The 18,496-nt window shown below is 44.0% G+C and overlaps 1 protein-coding gene and 1 pseudogene across 1 annotated transcript in view, besides 1 other annotated feature; both read right to left on the reverse strand.

Moving 5' to 3' along the window:
• CLMP (CXADR like cell adhesion molecule) overlaps positions 1–18,496 on the reverse strand; it is a 125,377-nt gene that overhangs the window by 51,526 nt on the left and 55,355 nt on the right. The window lies entirely within an intron of this gene.
• Positions 13,020–13,240: a silencer, noted in NCBI's record as "fragment chr11:123005125-123005345 (GRCh37/hg19 assembly coordinates)". NCBI's record gives its function as "represses an EF-1alpha promoter that drives an FKBP-Casp9 reporter gene in an ReSE screen in HepG2 liver carcinoma cells {active_cell/tissue: HepG2}" and the evidence as "EXISTENCE:reporter gene assay evidence [ECO:0000049][PMID:32094911]".
• LOC107984350 (FUN14 domain-containing protein 1-like) lies at positions 13,844–16,085 on the reverse strand (annotated as a pseudogene).

Raw genomic sequence — 18,496 nt, forward strand, 5'->3', positions numbered from 1 at the left:
AGCAATTCTCCTGCCTCAGCCTCCTGAGTATCTGGGACTACAGGCATGTGCCACCAGGCCCATCTAATTTTTGTATTTTTAGTAGAGACGGGGTTTCACCATGTTGGCCAGGCTGGTCTGGAATTCCTGGCCTCAAGTGATCTGCCTGCCTTGGCCTCCCAAAGTGCTGGGATTACAGGTGTGAGCCACCTCACCTGGCCAGAGAAAAATTTTAAAATCACATATCTGTCAGTGGGAGGTGGGTAATGGCTGCCAATGTTCTCTGAGCTGGGTGGGTTTAGTGGGTCAGGAGTATACCTATACAGATTCCAGTCCTTGAGCCTTTTAATAAACTGGCTTATAACCACTGGGGTTTCAGCCACTGTGTTTTGGTAAGTCAGTTACCTCTCTTCCACCTGCTTTCATCAGCCAAACATTTGTTGACATTTCTCTTTCACCTTTATTTCCTTCCCCATTTTCAGCCACCTGAGTAGCTGGTACTGACTACAGGCACGTGCCCTTGCGTCCGGCTAATTTTTGTATTTTTTGTAGAGATGGGGTTTTGCCATGTTGCCAGGCTAGTCTTGAACTCCTGGACTCAAGCAATCCGCCTGCCTACGGCCTCCCAAAGTGCTGGGATTGGGAACCACTGTGTCTGGCCCTTTACTTTCATTTTAGTGGGTTTTGGGGAGGAAACAGAGAAAAATACATGTGTTCAATCTACCACATTACCTAAAATATCCGTAAGTGATTTAGGGGGCAGGTACTGTCTTCTAGACTATAGACATTTTCTCTGCTCCGTTTTTATTTTTTAATTTTTTTAGAGATAGGGTCTTGCTATGTTGCCCAGGCTGGTCTTGAACTCTTGGGTTCAAGAGACCCTCTCAAGCTTTCCTAGTACTGGGATTACAGGCGTGAGCCACTGTGCCAGGTACTCTGCTCCATTTTTGAAAGCAACAAAATATTTAATTAGATCTGTGGCTTTTTATCCTCCCACTTCCCCTGTTCAACAGACAGTCATCATTGGCAGGGTTGTGTCTGTCGACTGCGATACTGACTGTGATATTGGCTCTCTAACCCTGGGACAGATAGGACAGTCCTCCGGGAAACAGAACAGCTTGTCCGTGTACTCAGGAAGCTCATGTGGGATACACGGTGGCCACACTCCTACTGGAAAGCTTTTCTGTTGCGACACCCTCTGCTCAGCATGATAGAAAAGGAGAAAAAGCTTTTATTTCCCAATAGGCTCTCTCTTATCCCGAGAACCTTATCTGGGAAAAAGGTAGCAGAGAAACGTGAAAGCAAGTTTCATCAGGAATGAGGAAATTGCCACTCATTTTGCTAATTTTGACCTATGAAACCCAAAGAGAAAACGTGTGTGGGATTTTGTTTTCATGTCTTGTGTTTTTCTTACTTTCCCCCTCTCTTCCTCCCTGTCTTCCCTCCTTTCCTTCTTCCTTTCTTTCTACTCACCAGGCATGTTGTATTTAAGCTATTTTGGTTCAGACTAAGGGAAATGAATCAAGGCTTTCGGAACAAATTAAAGAAGTACACAAATGCTCAGGATGAAGCCTTCATGTCCAATAGAAACGAAGGCCTGCTCTGCTCAAAATAACTCGTTCTTGCACCCTCATCCCTTTTGCTGTGTTTGCAGCTTGGAAACCCTACCAGACACCGAGGCCTTCTTAGGAAAAATATTTGTTTAAATCTTTCGCTTTCTCTGTGGTCTTTAAAAGCCACTAAGCCACTCTGGTTTCTAGTCCAGGAATCAGCTTTTCTGGGCGTATCATATTGCCCAGCTGTGACCCTTCCAGGCACGTGAACTCTGCAGAATTCTAGCAGAGATCTGAAGATTTTTTTCTTTTCTTTCTTTCTTTCTTTCCTTTTTTTTTTTTTTTTTTAAGACAGAGTCTTGCTCTGTCACTCAGGTTGGAGTGCAGTGGTGTGATCTTGGCTCACTGCAGCCTCCACCTCCCGGGTTCAAGCCATTCTCGTGGATCAGCCTCCCAAGTAGCTGGGATTACAGGCATGTGCCACCACACTGGCTAATTTTTGAATTTTTGTAGAGACAGTGCTTCACCATGTTGGCTAGGCTGGTCTTGAACTGCTGGCCTCAAGTGATCTGCCCACCTCAGCCTCCCAAAGTGCTGGGATTACAGGGGTAATCCCACTGTGCCTGGCCAAGGTTTTTGTACATGAGAAATTGGTGGCGAGTCCCATGAGGAAGTGCGGCGTACACACAGGCAGATTTCCTTCACCATTAGTTCCTGTGTCAATCAGGGAACCCGCAATGAGACCATGTATTATGTACAGCATTGTACAGGGATTTTGTGGAAAATGTGAGAATAGACACAATCCATACACAATTCCTGACTCCTGTCCTCATGTAGCATCCAGTGTAGTTGTAAGGCATGTGAAAAAATTAGCAAATACTTTAAGACAGCACAAAATTGACACTACCTCTAATGCTGTGGCAGCTCAGAGGAGATGGCGACCCATAAATGATGAAAATCAGTGCAGGAAATGAGACATGAGAGACAAATGGAGGGAAAATGCAAAGGAGAAAGGCAGGAACGAGCTCTGGATGATTGGGTGGGAATGAACTCATTACTCAGGGTTAGACTGCAAGGGAAAGAGAAAAGGAGCAGTGAGGAGAGAGCGATTCATTTGATGGGAGAGTTAGGAGAAGGAAACTTCTAGGTAAATATTATTGGAATTGGCCTACAGAGAACAGCCCTGTTATATTTTTTTGGTTGTTATTTTTAGTTTAACAACAAGTGTCCGCTTTTATCTATAATTTTCTTTTTCTTTCTTTTTTTGTAGAGATGGGGGTCTTGCTATGTTCCCTAGGCTGGTCTCGAACTCCTGGCCTCAAGTGATCCTCTTGCTTTGGCCTCCCAAAGTGTTGGGATTACAGGCATGAACTACCACGCACAGCTTACGGTTTTCCCAGTTGATTGGTTTGCTAATCTTTGAGATTAATCCAGAGGCAAGCAGAGATCTATTTCACCCCTACCCCACAAAACCCCTCTTAAATATCCAAGATTTTTGGTGGGCTGTGGTGTCACAGGTGAGTGAATTGAAATCATTAGGTAGTTGGATGTATTTCATTCAGCATGCAGGACTATCTGGCAGCAGAGACTAGAAGGGCCAAATCCTACTTCTCTGGATTTTGCCTCTGCAATAATCTAACAACCATCTGCTTACATCACTTTTTAGAATAACCAGTCATTTAATGTCGTTCATTCATTTAATAAATACTTATTGAACACTTGCTATATGTCAGTCACCATCTGCAGCGCTGGGCATACAGCAGTGAACAAAACGGATATTCTCCTTATTTTGTCCTTCTCAGAAATGCGTACATATCCCTGAGGGTCTTGGGCAGTGAGACAGAAACATATAGCATTCTAAAATAATTATGTAATCAATATTTTCTTGGAGTGTCAGTTTACTAAATAAGTAATTGAAAACACTGCCCTGTATTTAAATATATACATATGGAGTGGAATACAAAATTTAAATGCATTTCTTTTTTGAGACAGGGTCTGGCTCTGTCACCCAGGCTGGAGTGCAGTGGTGAGATCCCGGTTCACTGCAACATTTGCCTCCTAAGCTCAAGTGATCCTCCCACCTTAGCCTCCTGAGTAGCTGGGACAATAGGTGTGCACTACCATGCCTAGCTAATTTTCTGTATTTTTAGCAGAGACAGGGTTTCACCATGTTGCCTAGATGGGTCTTGAACTCCTGAGCTCAGGCAATCCGCCTGCCTCGGCCTCCTACAGTGCTGAGATTAAGAGCAAGAGCCACCACACCTGGCCTTATATGCATTTTTAAGCTAAAGCAAGACTTTAAAGAAATGCAATTTGTTCTGGGCTATGTCCCAAATCTCCAAGGTCCGCATGTACACTCCTCTGCCTTTAGAAGCACTCATGGAGAAGTTTGCAAAGCACTGCCCTACTTAATCTTGAGTGGCCTTACCACTGCCTACAAGATCAAGAGGAGACTCCTGCATGAACACTCAAGGTTCTTCAGGATGTGGACCGGGGCCACGTTCCCCAGCACTCACTCTCCCTTCCCTCCCTCCCTCCTCCCTCCCTCCTCCCTCCCTCCTTCCTCCCTTCTTCCTCCCTTCCCTTCCCTTCCCTTCCCTTCCCTCCCCTTCCCTCCCCTCCCCTCCCTCCCTTCCTCCCTCCCTCCCTCCCTCCTTTCTTTCTTCTTTTCTTTTCTTTCTTTCTTTTTTTTGAGACAGAGTCTTGCTCTGTTGCCCAGCCTGGAGTGCAGTGGCACGATCTCAGCTCACTGCAACCTCTGCCTCCCGGGTTCAAGTGATTCTCCTGCCTCAGCCTCCCAAGTAGCTGTGATTACAGGCATGTGCCACCACGCCTGGCTAATTTTTTTGTATTTTTAGTAGAGACGGGGTTTCACCGTGTTGGCCAGGCTGGTCTCAAACTCCTGACCTCATGTGATCTGCCCGCCTCCGCCTCCCAAAGTGCTTGGATTACAGGCATGAGCCACTGCGCCCAGCCCACTCTCTTTGCTTTCTGCTCTCTCTTCGCACAGCAGGAGCACATAGGAAGCACCCACTGGACAATGTGCTGGGCTAGAGTATAACAAAGACAACTTCTTAGCCACACCCACCATGTGCTACTCACACTGCTCATTGCCTCACCCTCCCTGCTTAGAAAATCTTTTCCTCTCTTCCAAGGGGCCAGCCTGAATATATTGCTTCGCCTGAATAGCATGAATTTCTTTTTTATCCATTTTCCTATAATACTCTGTAGACACTTCTGTAATAGATCTTACATTTTGTCATGCCTATATAGTGTCTCATCTTTTCTCCTACTGCATGTTAAATTCCCCAGGCAGGGCCATTCTTTTCAATTCTTCTTTGTATTTACACAGTGCTTGTCACCAAATAGGCCCTCAATGGATGTAAGCCGAATTAATTAAGTTTTCAGAGAGACATGCAAATTCTCTGGGAAGTTCATCTGAAAATATTAAGTAATGTATTAATTAATTTATCAATATATTAATCAACTATTTACCAGTCCTATTTTTTGTAGAGACGGGAGTCTCAGTGTGTTGCTCAGGCTGGTCTTGAACTCCTGGACTCAAGAATGCTCCAGCCTCAGCGTTTCAGTGTGTGAGGATTAAAGGTGTGAGCCACTGCACCTGGTCTCCTGCCTTTCTACTCTTGAGCTAAGTTTATGAAGACAGTAATAAGAAAACAGAACTAGGCTGGGTGCAGTAGCTCACGCCTGTAATCCCAGCACTTTGGGAGGCCGAGGTGGGTGGATCACAAGGTCAGAAGATCGAGACCATCCTGGCAAACACGGTGAAACCCCGTCTCTACTAAAAATACAAAAAATTAGCCAGGCGTGGTGGTGGGCGCCTGTAGTCCCAGCTACTTGGGAGACTCAGGCAGGAGAATGGCACGAACCTGGGAGGCGGAGCTTGCAGTGAACCAGGATGGCGCTACTGCACTCCAGCCTGGGCGAGAGTGCGAGACTCCATCTTAAAAAAAAAAAAGAAAGAAAACAGAACTAGTCTCTTCCCTCATGACACTTATAATTGTATGAAAAAGACTCATAGTAATGAGAGAAATAATTATAAGAATTTAATTATATTAAATGTGATAAGTTAAATATAATTAAGTGTATAAATGTGATAAATGCTATAAAGGAAAAGTACAGGAAACTATGAACATATAATTCCATCTTTAAATAATTTCTTTTTTTTTCTTTTCTTTCTTGTTTTTTTGAGACAGAGTCTCTCTCTGTCACCCAGGCTGGAGTGCAGTGGCGTGATCTCAGCTCGCTGCAACCTGCGCCTCCTGGATTCAAGTGATTCTCCTGCCTCAACCTCCTGAGTAGCTGGGATTACAAGTATGTACCATCATGCCCAGCTAATTTTTGTATCTTTAGTAGAGACGGGGTTTCACCATGTTGACCAGACTGGTCTCGAACTCCTAACCTCAAGTGATCCACACACCTCGGCCTCCCAAAGTACTGGGATTACAGGCGTGAGCCACAGCGCCCAGCCCACCTCTTTTTATAATGACTTATTTTCCATATTAGTAATTAAGACTTATTACGTGGAGGGAGGGAGGACTAAAAGGGGCAGTTTGTTCCACATTTAAAAGCCAGAACTAAATCCTTCGGAGAGGAGAAATGATAGTGATTCTACCCAAACTCTTTGAGAAAATAGAAAAGGAGCACTTCCTTTTCATTTTATCAGCATTACTCCAATCCCAACAACCCAGATAAAGATATGACATACACACAAAAGAAAATCACAGACCAGTACCACTCATGAACTTACATGCAATCATCCCTTAACAAAATCAAACCAAGTAGTAGATATAAAGAGTAACGTGGCCGGGCACGGTGGCTCACGCCTGTAATTCCAGCACTTTGGGAGGCCAAGGTGGGCGGATTACCTGAGGTTAGGAGTTCGACACCAGCCTGGCCAACATGGCAAAACCCTGTCTCTACTGAAAATACAAAAAAATTAGCCGGGCGTGGTGGTGCAAGCCTGTAATCCCAGACTCAGGAGGCTGAGGCAGGAGAATCACTTGAACCAGGGAGGCAAAGGTTGCAGTAAGCCAAGATCGCACCATTGCACTCCAGCCTGGTGACAGAATGAGACTCTGTCTCAAAAAAAAAAAAAAAAAAGGTAATACATCAGACCAAGTAGGTTTTATCCTCAGAATATAAGGTTGGTTTAACAATAAAAAATCAATTAATCATAGTAATTCCCCATATTTATAGGATGAAGGAGAAAAGCAGTATCATTTCAGGAGATGAAGAATGAAGAAAAAGACTTTAACAAATTGAATACCCATTCATGATTAAAAAAAGAAAAAAAAAAAACAACTCAGCCAACCAGGAAGAAAGGGGACTTCTTTAAAAAAACAAAAACAAAGTAGGACTACAAGGCGGGCATGGTGGCTCAGGCCTGTAATCCTGGCATGGTGGCCCAGGCCTGTAATGCCAGCATGGTAGCTCAGGCCTGTAATCCTGGCATGGTGGCTCAGGCCTGTAATTCCGAGGTGGGAGGATCGCTTGAGCCCAGGAGTTTGAGACCAGCCTGAGCAACATAGCGAGATCTTGCCTCTACCAAAAATAAAAAGTAGCCAGATGTGGTGGCACAAGCCTGTAGTCTCAGCTACTTGGGAGGCTGATGTGAGATTTTTGCTTGAGCCCAGGAGGTAGAGGCTGCAGTGAGCTATGATCACGTCACTGCATTCTAGCCTGAGCAACATGGTGAGACCATGTCTCAAAAAAAAAGAAAAAGACTGCAAGTTAAAAAGTGAAAAATAATTAAAAGTTTAATCATCAGTATCTGTCAAACAACTAATTTGACCTTTTTCTCAAATTGAATATTAAAATATATAGAGGTGGGAAGAATTTTATGAAACTTTTATACTAATAGCTACTTATATGGAACACTGGCTAAGAGCTCTGTGAACAGCATCTTTTTTAATCCTTACACAACCCCATACAATAGGTATGATTTTTATTCCCATTTTATAGATGATGAAACTGAGGCTTAGGGAAGTCAAAGAAATTGACTGCAGAAATACAGCCAATAATTAGCACAGCCGGTGTTAAACTGAAGATCTGTCTGCTTTAAAATTTGTGCTTCTAAATGTTGTTCAGGGCCAGGAGCAGTAGCTCATACCTGTAATCCCAGCACTTTGGGAGGTCGAGGCAGGTGGATCACCTGAGGTCAGGTTGGAGACCACGCTGGCCAACATGGTGAAACCCCATCTCTAGCAAAGACACAAAAATACAAAAAATTAGTTTGGCGTGGTGGTGGGTGCCTGTAATCCCAGCTACTCAGGAGGCTGAGGCAGGAGAATTGCTTGAATCCGGGAGGCAGAGGTTGCAGTGAGCCGAGATTGTACCATTGCACTCCAGCCTGGGCAATGAGTGAAACTCTGTCTTAATATACATATATATAAAATATATCATATGATATATTATATAAAATATATATCATATGATATATTATATAAAATATATATCATATGATATATTATATAAAATATATATCATATGATATATTATATAAAATATATCATATGATATATTATAGATTATATATAATTAATTTCAAAAATTTCAAATATATTCTAATTCAAAATTGAATATTCAATTTCAAAAATAATTGAATATATTATATAATTATATAATATATATTGTAATTATATAGTATATAATATATATTATATTTATATAATATAATATATATTATATGATATATAGTTCAGTATATAAATTTTATATATATAAATATTATATTTATATAAAATAATATTATATATTATATAATATATAGATATAGTTCAGTACCACTTCTCATTTGACCACTTTATCTTATACATCAGGCAGCTAAATGACAAGCCACACTGATGCAAGTTAATGGCAAAGTTGGGACTGGAACCCAGGCCTTCTGACTTCTGACACCTTGTTGCTTTCAGAAACGGTGTTTCACATCTAATCCACCTACTCCTTCCTTTTTATCAAAACACACTTTTTTTTTTTCCTGGAGGCTCCAGACGTAAGAAACTAGAGAAATAAATATAAGTTACAGAGCCAGGGATCAACTTTTGTCTCCTGCTCTGTTTAGCATTCAAAACCACTAAGCCACAGAGAAGACTCTGCCCACACTCAGAAAAGAGCATGTTAAAGCAGAATTGAGTGGAAACCTCTCTTCATAGGAATGCAGATGGTGAGAAAGAGTAAAAATATTCAAGGGAAAAGGAGGTAAAGAAAATTAGTGTTGGGGCTGGAGAACACTGCATGGTATTCATCTTTCAGAAATTTGAAACTCTGGGAACTTTACAGGGGAGTCCAAGGGATGTAACTGCCCCGAGAGGCCTCAAACTGGCCCTTTCGTGGATGAAGATCACTTCCCATCATTGTCACTCAGAGTCACCGTGGTCTGGTAGAGCTCCCTGGGAGGTGCTGGGAAATGGCCCCAGGACCATCAAGGCTTTGCCCTGCTTTCTGGGCAGGGTTCGGCAAAATTAAAAAGGAAGAAAGATTATTTATCGTCCACCCAGTGCAAATTAAGAAAAATGGTATGGTCTGGATGGTTTTTAAGCAAGTCAGGAGGGAGAAGAAAAATTTTAACACCCTTCCTTTGACACAAGCTGATGGCCCCTAAGTGATGTCCTCGCCCAGATGGACAGAAGCCCACCTTCACTGGCAGGCACCCACTGGGAACTGCATTGTTCCTGCCTCCTGCACATGCCAGGGAATGGACAGCAGGCATTCTGGGAGGGTGAGGGTTGAGCTGTGGAAAAGGGTTGGGGAAAAAAAAGTAGTTCAGGAGTCAGAAAATAGTTCACAAATCTAAAATTCCATTCAGAGCTGCTTCTAAACACCGTCATAGCAAAAAGTGTGGTAAGTTCTTTGTTTTCCTTCCCCAAATGGAATCGTTTTTTTCTTTTCCTTTTTTTTTTTTTTTTTTTGAGACGGAGTCTCACTCTGTCACCCAGGCTGGAGTGCAGTGGCGCTATCTCAGCTTACTGCAACCCCTGCCTCCCGGGTTCAAATGATTCTCCTGCCTCAGCCTCCCAAGTAGCTGGGATTACAGGTGTGCACCACCATGCCTGGCTAATTTTTGTATTTTTAGTAGAGACAGGGGTTCACCATGTTGGCCAGGCTGGTCTTGAACTCCTGACCTCAAGTGATCCACCCCCCTTGGGCTCTTAAAGTGCTGGGATTACAGGCGTGAGCCACCGTGCCCAGCCGGATTTCAAAAATAATATCTGTCATTCCAAAATAGTACTTAGGTGATCATTTTTCTTTCCCCCCAAATAGTATGACTGTTTAGTTTTAGATCTTTTTCTCATCCCTCAAATATAAAGAGCCTAGAAATTTCTCTTGCTCCATCAATTCCATTGAGAAATATTTCCTGGTAGCCACAAAGATTAGAAAAAAATACAGAAAAAAAAGAAAAAATATAGAAAGAATATTTTGACAAAGAAATATTTTGACTCTTGGAGGGAATTTCTAACTCTTCTTACTTTAATTTTATATATTTAAGATTAGAAGCAAAACAAAACAAATGAACAATAACCAAAAATAAGCCCAAAACTAACCTTTTCCAAACTCTTAAATACTGGGTTTCAAAACACAGTGTGGAGGATGGTTACTTGAGTGGGTTTGGGTCACATTGGAGTCCTGATTCTGACCTTAATCTATCTTTCTTTCTTTTTTCTTTTCTTTTCTATTTTTTTTGAAATGGAGTTTCGCTCTTGTTGCCCAGGCTGGAGTGCAATGGTGTGATCTCGGTTCACTGCAACCCCTGTCTCCCGGGTTTGAGTGATTCTCCTGCCTCAGCCTCCCGAGTAGCTGGGATTACAGGTATGCGCCACCACGTCCGGCTAATTTTTGTATTTTTAGTAGAGACGTGGTTTCACCATGTTGGCCAGGCTGGTTTCGAACTCCTAACCTCAGGCAATCCACCTGCCTTAGCCTCCCAAAGTGCTGGGATTACAGGCGTGAGCCACTGCACCTGACCAAGATCCTTAATTTTTCTAAACCTACGTTTATCATCTATAAAATGAGCCATCTTTTCACATGGCTCTCATAAGGATTAAATGCAATCTTGTTTAAAGCACGTTGTATAAAATTTATCTTAGCTATTATAGTAAGAAGTACAAAAGTGAAGGAAAGTAATAATCTTTGCGGGGGGGTCTATGTGTAAGAAACCTCTCAGGAAGGAGCAGAACTGAACCAAGTGCTGAGGCAGAACCTCTGCTCTACAAATAGCATTTTTTTTCTTTTTAGCAAATTGCAGAAGGATATGATTCCTAACTTCCTGCAGGCTGATTCAGTCCCATGCCAGGGCACACGGCCGGTGAGTGGGCAGCTGCCCTATTAAGGACTCAGCAAAGGAATGATTACTTTGGGGAACTGTCAAATACGGAAAGCTATTCGGAAGGCCCACATGGAGATGGCTGTTTCCTAAATCACAGTTTCCCCAATGTTTTCTATTCCTCTGTGCTCTGAGGTGATAACTTTTTCCTTTTTTTTCTCTTATTTTTGTCTCTCTCATTTTATTTTATTTTGTTTTATTTTTGAGACAGAGTCTTGCTCTGTTGCTCAGGCTGGAGTGCAGTGGTGCAATCTTGGCTCACGGCAACCTCCGCCTCTTGGGTTCAAGTGATTCTCCTGCCTCAGCCTTCTGAGTAGCTGGGATTACAGGCGCCTGCCACCACACCCAGCTAATTTTTGTATTTTTAGTAGAGATGGAGTTTCACCATGTTGGCCAGGCTAGTCTGGAACTCCTGACCTCAAGTGATTCACCCACCTCAGCCTCCCAAAGTGCTGGGATTACAGGTGTGAGACACTGTGCCTGGCCCTGTTTTTTATTTTATTTTTATTTATTTATTTTTTTTTGAGACAGGGTCTCACTCTGTGGCTCAGGCTGGAGGGCCAGTGGTGTGATCTCCGCTCACTGCAACCTCCACCTCCCAGGCTCAAGTGATTCTCCCACCTCAGCCTTGCAAGTAGGCGTGCACCACCATGCCCAGCTAATTTTTGTATTTTTTGGTAGAGGCAGGGTTTCACCATGTTGGCCAGGCTGGTCTCAAATTACTGACCTCAAGCGATCTGCCTGCCTCGGCCTCCCAAAGGCTGGGGTTATAGGGGTGTGTCACTATGCCTGGCCTCTGAGATTATAACTGCCCACTAAGGAATTCTAGAATTGTTGGGATGACCTGGAGATATGTTCAGGGAAAGACGGGAAGTTTGCAATGACATCAGTATAGAATCCACAGGCTCTAATGACTGGAAATGAGGCTGGAAAAGCGTAATGGAGCAAAATCAGAAGTTCACATGAACACAGACTCCTTGACCGGGCCCTAGTCAGGCTCCTCTGGGTCCTCCTTTTGACTAGGCCCAATCTTTGGCTCTGTCTAGGTCTGCTTACTCCAGTTTTATTAAGAATCCTACTGAGAGAGTTTAGTGGAATCCTCCTCTCGGTCTGACCACCGTCAACATCTTCTTACCCTTGCTTCCTTTTAGCAGAAATCTTGTTAAGTCAGTTTAGCAAAGAGTTACCCTACTTCCTAGTGATTTTGCATCCATTGATTCCCCTACCTTGTTTCTTGGCTATAAACTTCCACTTTCGCTTATTGTCCCTAGATTTGAGCCCCATCTCTAGCCCATACTACAAAACCCCATTGTAGTAGCCACTACTATGATGCGGTTCAGAACATCCTACCCCAAAATATGACACCTTGGCATATTGAGTATTTTAAGCCGAAGAAATCTGAGAAAGAGCAGGTGCAGGAAGGACTGTCTGACCTTCCCCTCAAGAAGGTCATAAGCCCCTGATATGAGAGGCAACCTCCTTATGCCCAGAGGAAGGAGTGTTCTTGTCTGTGAAGACAGGAACACTGAGACGAATCTGAGCGGGGAGGCCTTGCTGTCTCCCCCAGCTTATTACCCTTAGATCATACCCTTTTCCCATGATTTTTTACTCTTCATCAAACCTAGTAAAAACATGTCTAACTATTTTTCTGGGGCTTCTTTTCCTTATGAAGGCTCTCATGTCACATAAGACTTATATTAAATAAATTTGTAGGCAGTGGCTCCTGTCTATAATCCCAGCACTTTGGGAGGCCAAGGTGGGCGGATCACTTGAGGCCAGGAGTTCAAGACCAGTCTGGCCAACACGGTGAAACCCTGTCTCTACTAAAAATACAAAAATTCGCCAGGCGTGGTGGCACACACCTGTAATCCCAGCTACTCGGGAGGCTGAGGCATGAGAATCACTGGAACCTGGGAGGGGGAGGTTGCAGTGAGCCGAGATCTCGCCACTGCACTCCAGCCTGGGCGACAGTGAGACTCTGTCTTAAAAAAAAAAAAAGTATGCTTTTCTCTTATTAATCTGTCTTTTGTTACAGAGCCCCAGCAAAGGACCAAAAAGGGTAGAAGGAAAAGATTTTTTCTTTCTCCTACACTCCCCTTGAATATTTCTTACCATCTTTAACAAGTATTATGATTAATTTTTTCTTTCACAATAGCATACTAAGAAGATTAAAATTTGTCCCTGGTACTTAGGCAAAGGGGAGCCATTGGGGTTTTTAAGCAAGGGCATTTCATGTTCAAATTTGCACTCTAGACTGGGCACGGTGGCTCACACCTGTAATCCCAGCACTTTTGGAGGCTGAGGCGGGGGTGGGGGATCACGTGAGGTCAGGAGTTCGAGACCAGCCTGACCAACATGGTGAAACCCCATTTCTACTAAAAATATAAAAGCCCAGCATGGTAGTGCATGCTTGTAGTCCCAGCTACTCAGGAGGCTGAGGCACAAGAATCGCTTGAACCCAGGAGGTGGAGGTTACAGTGAACTGAGATTGTGCCACTGCACTCCAGCCCGGGCAACAGAGTGAGACTCCGTCTCAAAAAAAAAAAAATTGCTCTCTAGCACGTGAGCTTGTCAGTGTGCCAGCACACTGTCAGGACAGCGTTTGGCTTCATGGATACCAGCTGTCATAAATCCAAGAGCAGCAATAAACAAATTAACTGGTTTTGAAAATTTTTTTCCTTATTTACTTCAAGAACAACAAAATAGGCCAGGTGTGGTGGCTCATGCCTGTAATCCCAGCACTTTGGGAGGCTGAAGGAGGTGGATCACCTGAGGTCAGGAGTTCGAGACTAACCTGGCCAACATGGTGAAACCCCGTCTCTACTAAAAATACAAAAATTAGCCAGACATGGTGGCAGGCGCCTGTAATCCCAGTTACTTGTGAGGCTGAGGCAGGAGAATGGCTTGAACCCGGGAGACAGAGGTTGCAGTGAGCCAAGACCATGCCATTGCACTCTAGCCTGGGTGATAGAAAAAGACTCCGTCTCAAAAAAAAAAAAAAAACCTGAGAAAATTGTCAAATATCTTTGCAGTGTTTGTGGTGTTCTCAAAAGTTAAAAAAAAGGTGGGGGGAGGGGACCCTGATTTATAGAGCCTGTATACCATATGTACATGTATATATGGTCAAAGCTAAGGACTGACAATGTCCCAAGAGGGAACAGTGAAAAACGAAGTCCTGAATGAGGTGTCTGTCATAGATATTTCAGGAGTCCAGGCTAGGAATTGGGTTAAGGTAAGATGATTGCCTGTAGGTTTGTATTTCCACTGTAGTATTTCTATTTTTTTTCACAATGAAGAACATTTTATTTACATAAAAAGAGAATAATATTTCACTAGGCAATAAATCCAGCATATTTCTTTTCTCTGCATATCTAAATCCAATGGTGATATTTTATAGGCTAATTTCTAAACAGATCCAAATTTTTGCAAAAATGATGAGAGCCATGTTTTGCTCAGGAATACTATTGTCGCAGATACTAGTTTGCCTAGCCTCGGGTGGCAAAATGCTAAGCTGTGAATTCAGTATTTTCCAGCTAGTTGTTTCTCCTTGCCCTACAGACTCTGGCAGCATGTACTGTTGAAAGACCCCTTATTGCTGCCACTTTTCTTCTCATAGTTGAATCCACTATGGGAGAACATTCACGTCCTTAAGATGCAAGTCCGAGCAAAAAGCCTCCCACAAATCTACCGGGTATCACAATGTGCTGCTTGATAAATTCTATTGCTTCTTCAATTAAATTGTTGATTTCCGGTGCTGCTTTGTTCGCTCGTTTCTTCATCTGCCTTTTTGCTTTGTTTGAATCTTTTTCAACTCTCTTCCAGTTAATCTGCACGTAGCCACTATGACTAGCAATCTGACGGCAAGAAAGTCACCACCTACTGCAGTTGCTGCAAGTTTTCAAACTTTCTGGAACAAAAATCCTGCAAACCAGCCAGGAACACCACCCATTACAATCTGGGTAGCTACTGCGTATTTTTCCACCATAGATCCCGAACTGTGGCCAAACACTGGATTCCACCACTGGTGTCTTCGCGCATACTCAGTTAAATCCAACACTTCGTAAGAGTCGTCCTCACTTTCATATTCTTGGGGAGCCGGGTTCAGGTTGCCATGATACCGCCGGTGGCCAGTTCTAGGGTGGTCCCCCCCACCCCGCCCTCCTTGTCCCCCCCCACCCCACCCTCCTCTCCCTGGCGCTTTAAGGGCCGCTCTAGGCCAAGATGGAAGTCTATGGTCTCTCCAGTGTAATATTTCATGGCTGGAACTTGGGTTATTACTTTTAAGTAATTTTTTTTTTTTTTTTTTTTTTTTTGAGACTGAGTCTCGCTCTGTCGCCCAGGCTGGAGTGCAGTGGCGCGATCTTGGCTCACTGTAATCTCCGCCTCCCAGGTTCAAGCGATTCTCCTCCCTCAACCTCCCAAGTAGCTGGGATTACAGGCACATGCCACCCTGCCTGGCTAGTTTTTGCATTTTCAGTAGAGAGGGTGGTTTTACCATGTTGGCCAGGTTGGTCTCGAACTCCTGAGCTCACAGGATCCACCTGCCTCGGCCTCCCAAGTGTTGAGATTGCAGGTGTGAGCCACGACGCCCTGTCACCTTTGATTTTCTGAAAGTATAACTTTAGTAATTTACCAAAAATGGAATCTTACTTATGGGGCTGGCTAATGGCATTTGGTTTTAGATGTGACAGGCTGCCAACATAGGTAAACAAGGTTTGTCCTCATTCCAAACTGGGTATGTAAACCTCCCATGTCCAGTTTCCCGAGCCCCGTATGTTTCCATTCAACCCTTCTCCTCTAGGAAACCAAATGAACCTTCCACAATGGAAAGAATGCTGACTTTTCCTTGCAGACCTTTCTCTTTTTTTCTTTTTCTTTTTTTTTTTTTTTTTTTTTTTTGAGATGGAGTCTCGCTCTGTCGCCCAGGCTGGAGTGCAGTGGCGCGATCTCGGCTCACTGCAAGCTCCGCCTCCCGGGTTCACGCCATTCTCCTGCCTCAGCCTCCCGAGTAGCTGGGACTACAGGCACCCGCCACCACGCCCGGCTAATTTTTTGTATTTTTAGTAGAGACGGGGTAGACCTTTCTTAAAGCTCAAAAATGGCATCAAATTCAGAGGACTCGCGTTTAGAAGGAGGAAGGAGGAGATGCGGAAGGGAAAGAGGAGCAAAGCCTGGTGGAGCCGACAGGGTCCCAGAGGGGAGATGGCCATCTCCTAAGAATAAACAGTTTCACCAGAGGCCGAGCTTGGACCATCTGCTCACTGTTTGCTTTGGACGGCGCTGGCCAAGAGGTCTCAGGGTTAGGCTGTCCCCAGAGATGAGAGCTCCCCCGAGCAGGCTGCAGGCTGCCTGCAGCCTGTCGCCTGGGGCTGCCCTGATATTTCCGGAATTTTATAGAAAGGGGAAGGCTGAGCCTAAAACCTCTCTCGAAGGCGGCCACCCTGCCAGGCCCAGCTCCTCGCAAACAAAGAAGTCAGTTGGGCGCCCCGAAGCTGCTGGCCTTCTGAGTGGCGGAAGGCGCCAGGCTCGGTGATTGAAACCACATGTGCTGGAGGTTTCAAGAGCAGCGACCCAGACACCAGGGGACTGGCTGCGGCTGCTTTTTACGTCTCCTTTGTCCTTGGGGTTTCCAAAGTCAGATCCTCTAACTAGACCACCAGTATCCCAGCAGAAAGAGTAGTAATTTTATTTTTTTTTTAATTTGACGAAATAGCATTTCTCCCCTCCCTCCCCCAAACCATAAAATGACCGGAAACCCTCAGGGCCCGGGGCTGCCTCCTGGCGACTCGCTAAGCAGGGGCAGAAGCTCTGTCCTGGGCTTCTCCAGCTCTGTCCCTAATTCCCTCGGATGAGACAGCAAGGAGGGATGAAGTTGATTTGTGAGGGGTGAGGCAAATTCATTAAACTAGTATAAGATACACATGGACTGTTTTTAAATTTAAAACTTTAAAAAGTTACAGGACTAAGACATAAATATATTCTCATTATAAAACACATGGAAACACTGCAAGGCCTTCCTTCACCTATTCCCATCAAGCCTCCTCCCCTCCCCCAAGTAATTCCTGTTACGAATTTTATGAAGATCCTTCTGGATCTTTCTCTGGTGCTTATGTGTATGTGTGTGTACACATAGAAATATGAAACTTTATCTTACATTTAGCAACAACAGTATTTATGGTATGTATTGTTTGCAATTATTGCACTTTTCTGGAGGTTTTTAAAATTTTTTCCTGCTGGTTACAGAGATCTACTTTCTGATAGCAGCATATCAGCAATTTTGATGTAGAGTCCAAATCTGGTAACATCCTCCCTGCTCCCACCTGCCCCCCACCCCCCTCCCCCTCCCCTGCCACCATTTGGTGTGGTCTGGAGCTAAGAACAATTCTTACTTATTTATTTGAGATGAAGTCTTGCTCTGTCACCCAAGCTGGAGTGCGATGGCACGATCTCAGCTCACTGCAACCTCTGCCTCCCGGGTTCAAGCAATTTTCCTGTCTCAGCCTCCCAAGTAGCTGGGATTACAGGTGTGCACCACCACACCCAGCTAATTTTTTGTATTTTTAGTAGAGATGGGGTTTCACTGTGTTAGCCAGGCTGACCTCGAACTCCTGACCTCAGGTGATCCACCCACCATGGCCTCCCAAAGTTCTGGTATTACAGGGCGTGAGCCACTGCGCCTGGACTCTTCTAACATTTTTAAATGGGTGAAAAAAATTAAAAGAAAAGTTACTGTTTTCTGACACATACATTGTATAAAATTTAAGTTCCGTGTCTATAAATAAATTCTACTGGAACACAGCTATACCCATTCATTTATGTATGGTGTATGGCGGCTTTCACACTACAGCAGCAGCATTGAGTATTTGTGACTGAAATCGTCTGGCTTATAAAGCCTAAAATATTTACTCTGCGGTCCTTTGCAGAAAAGCTTTACAAACCTCTGAACTACAGAATAGTTTTCAACTCAACAGGAACCTCCTGAGATTCCTATTGAATTGAAAACTATTCTGTAGCTCAGAGGTTTGAATGTGAGATGTTCAAAAGGTTACTGGGCTGTTAGATGTCAAAAATAAAACAGAAGAAACAGGACTGGCCAGTGAGTTAGGGGCCTGCGTTCTGCAGCTGGTTCTGCTATTTAGAAACCTCTGTGGCCTTGAGCAATCAATTCTGTCTTTTTAGGGTTCAGTTTCCACATCTGCAATACAAAGGAGTTGGGCTGGATCTCTAAGCTTCAGTGGTAACATTTTAAGATTCTAAAATGGATGGTAGAAGGGTCGGGCGCTGTGGCTCACGCCTGTAATGCCAGCACATTGGGAGGCTGAAGCAGGTGGATCACAAGGTCAGGAGTTAGAGACCAGCCTGGCCAACATGGTGAAACCTCGTCTCTACTAAAATTAGCTGGGCATGGTGGCGCATGCCTGTAGTTCCAGCTACTTGGGAGGCTGAGGCGGAAGAATTGTTTGAACCTGGCAGGTGGAGGTTGCAGTGAGCCGAGATTGCGCTACTGCACTCCAGCCTGGGCAACAGAGCGAGACACCGTCTCGAAATAAAGTAAAATAAAATAAAATAGAATAAAATAAAATAAAATAAAAAATATAAAATAAAATAAAATGGATGGTAG

Source organism: Homo sapiens, chromosome 11, assembly GCF_000001405.40.
Source record: "Homo sapiens chromosome 11, GRCh38.p14 Primary Assembly".
NCBI classification, from domain to species: Eukaryota; Metazoa; Chordata; class Mammalia; order Primates; family Hominidae; genus Homo; species Homo sapiens.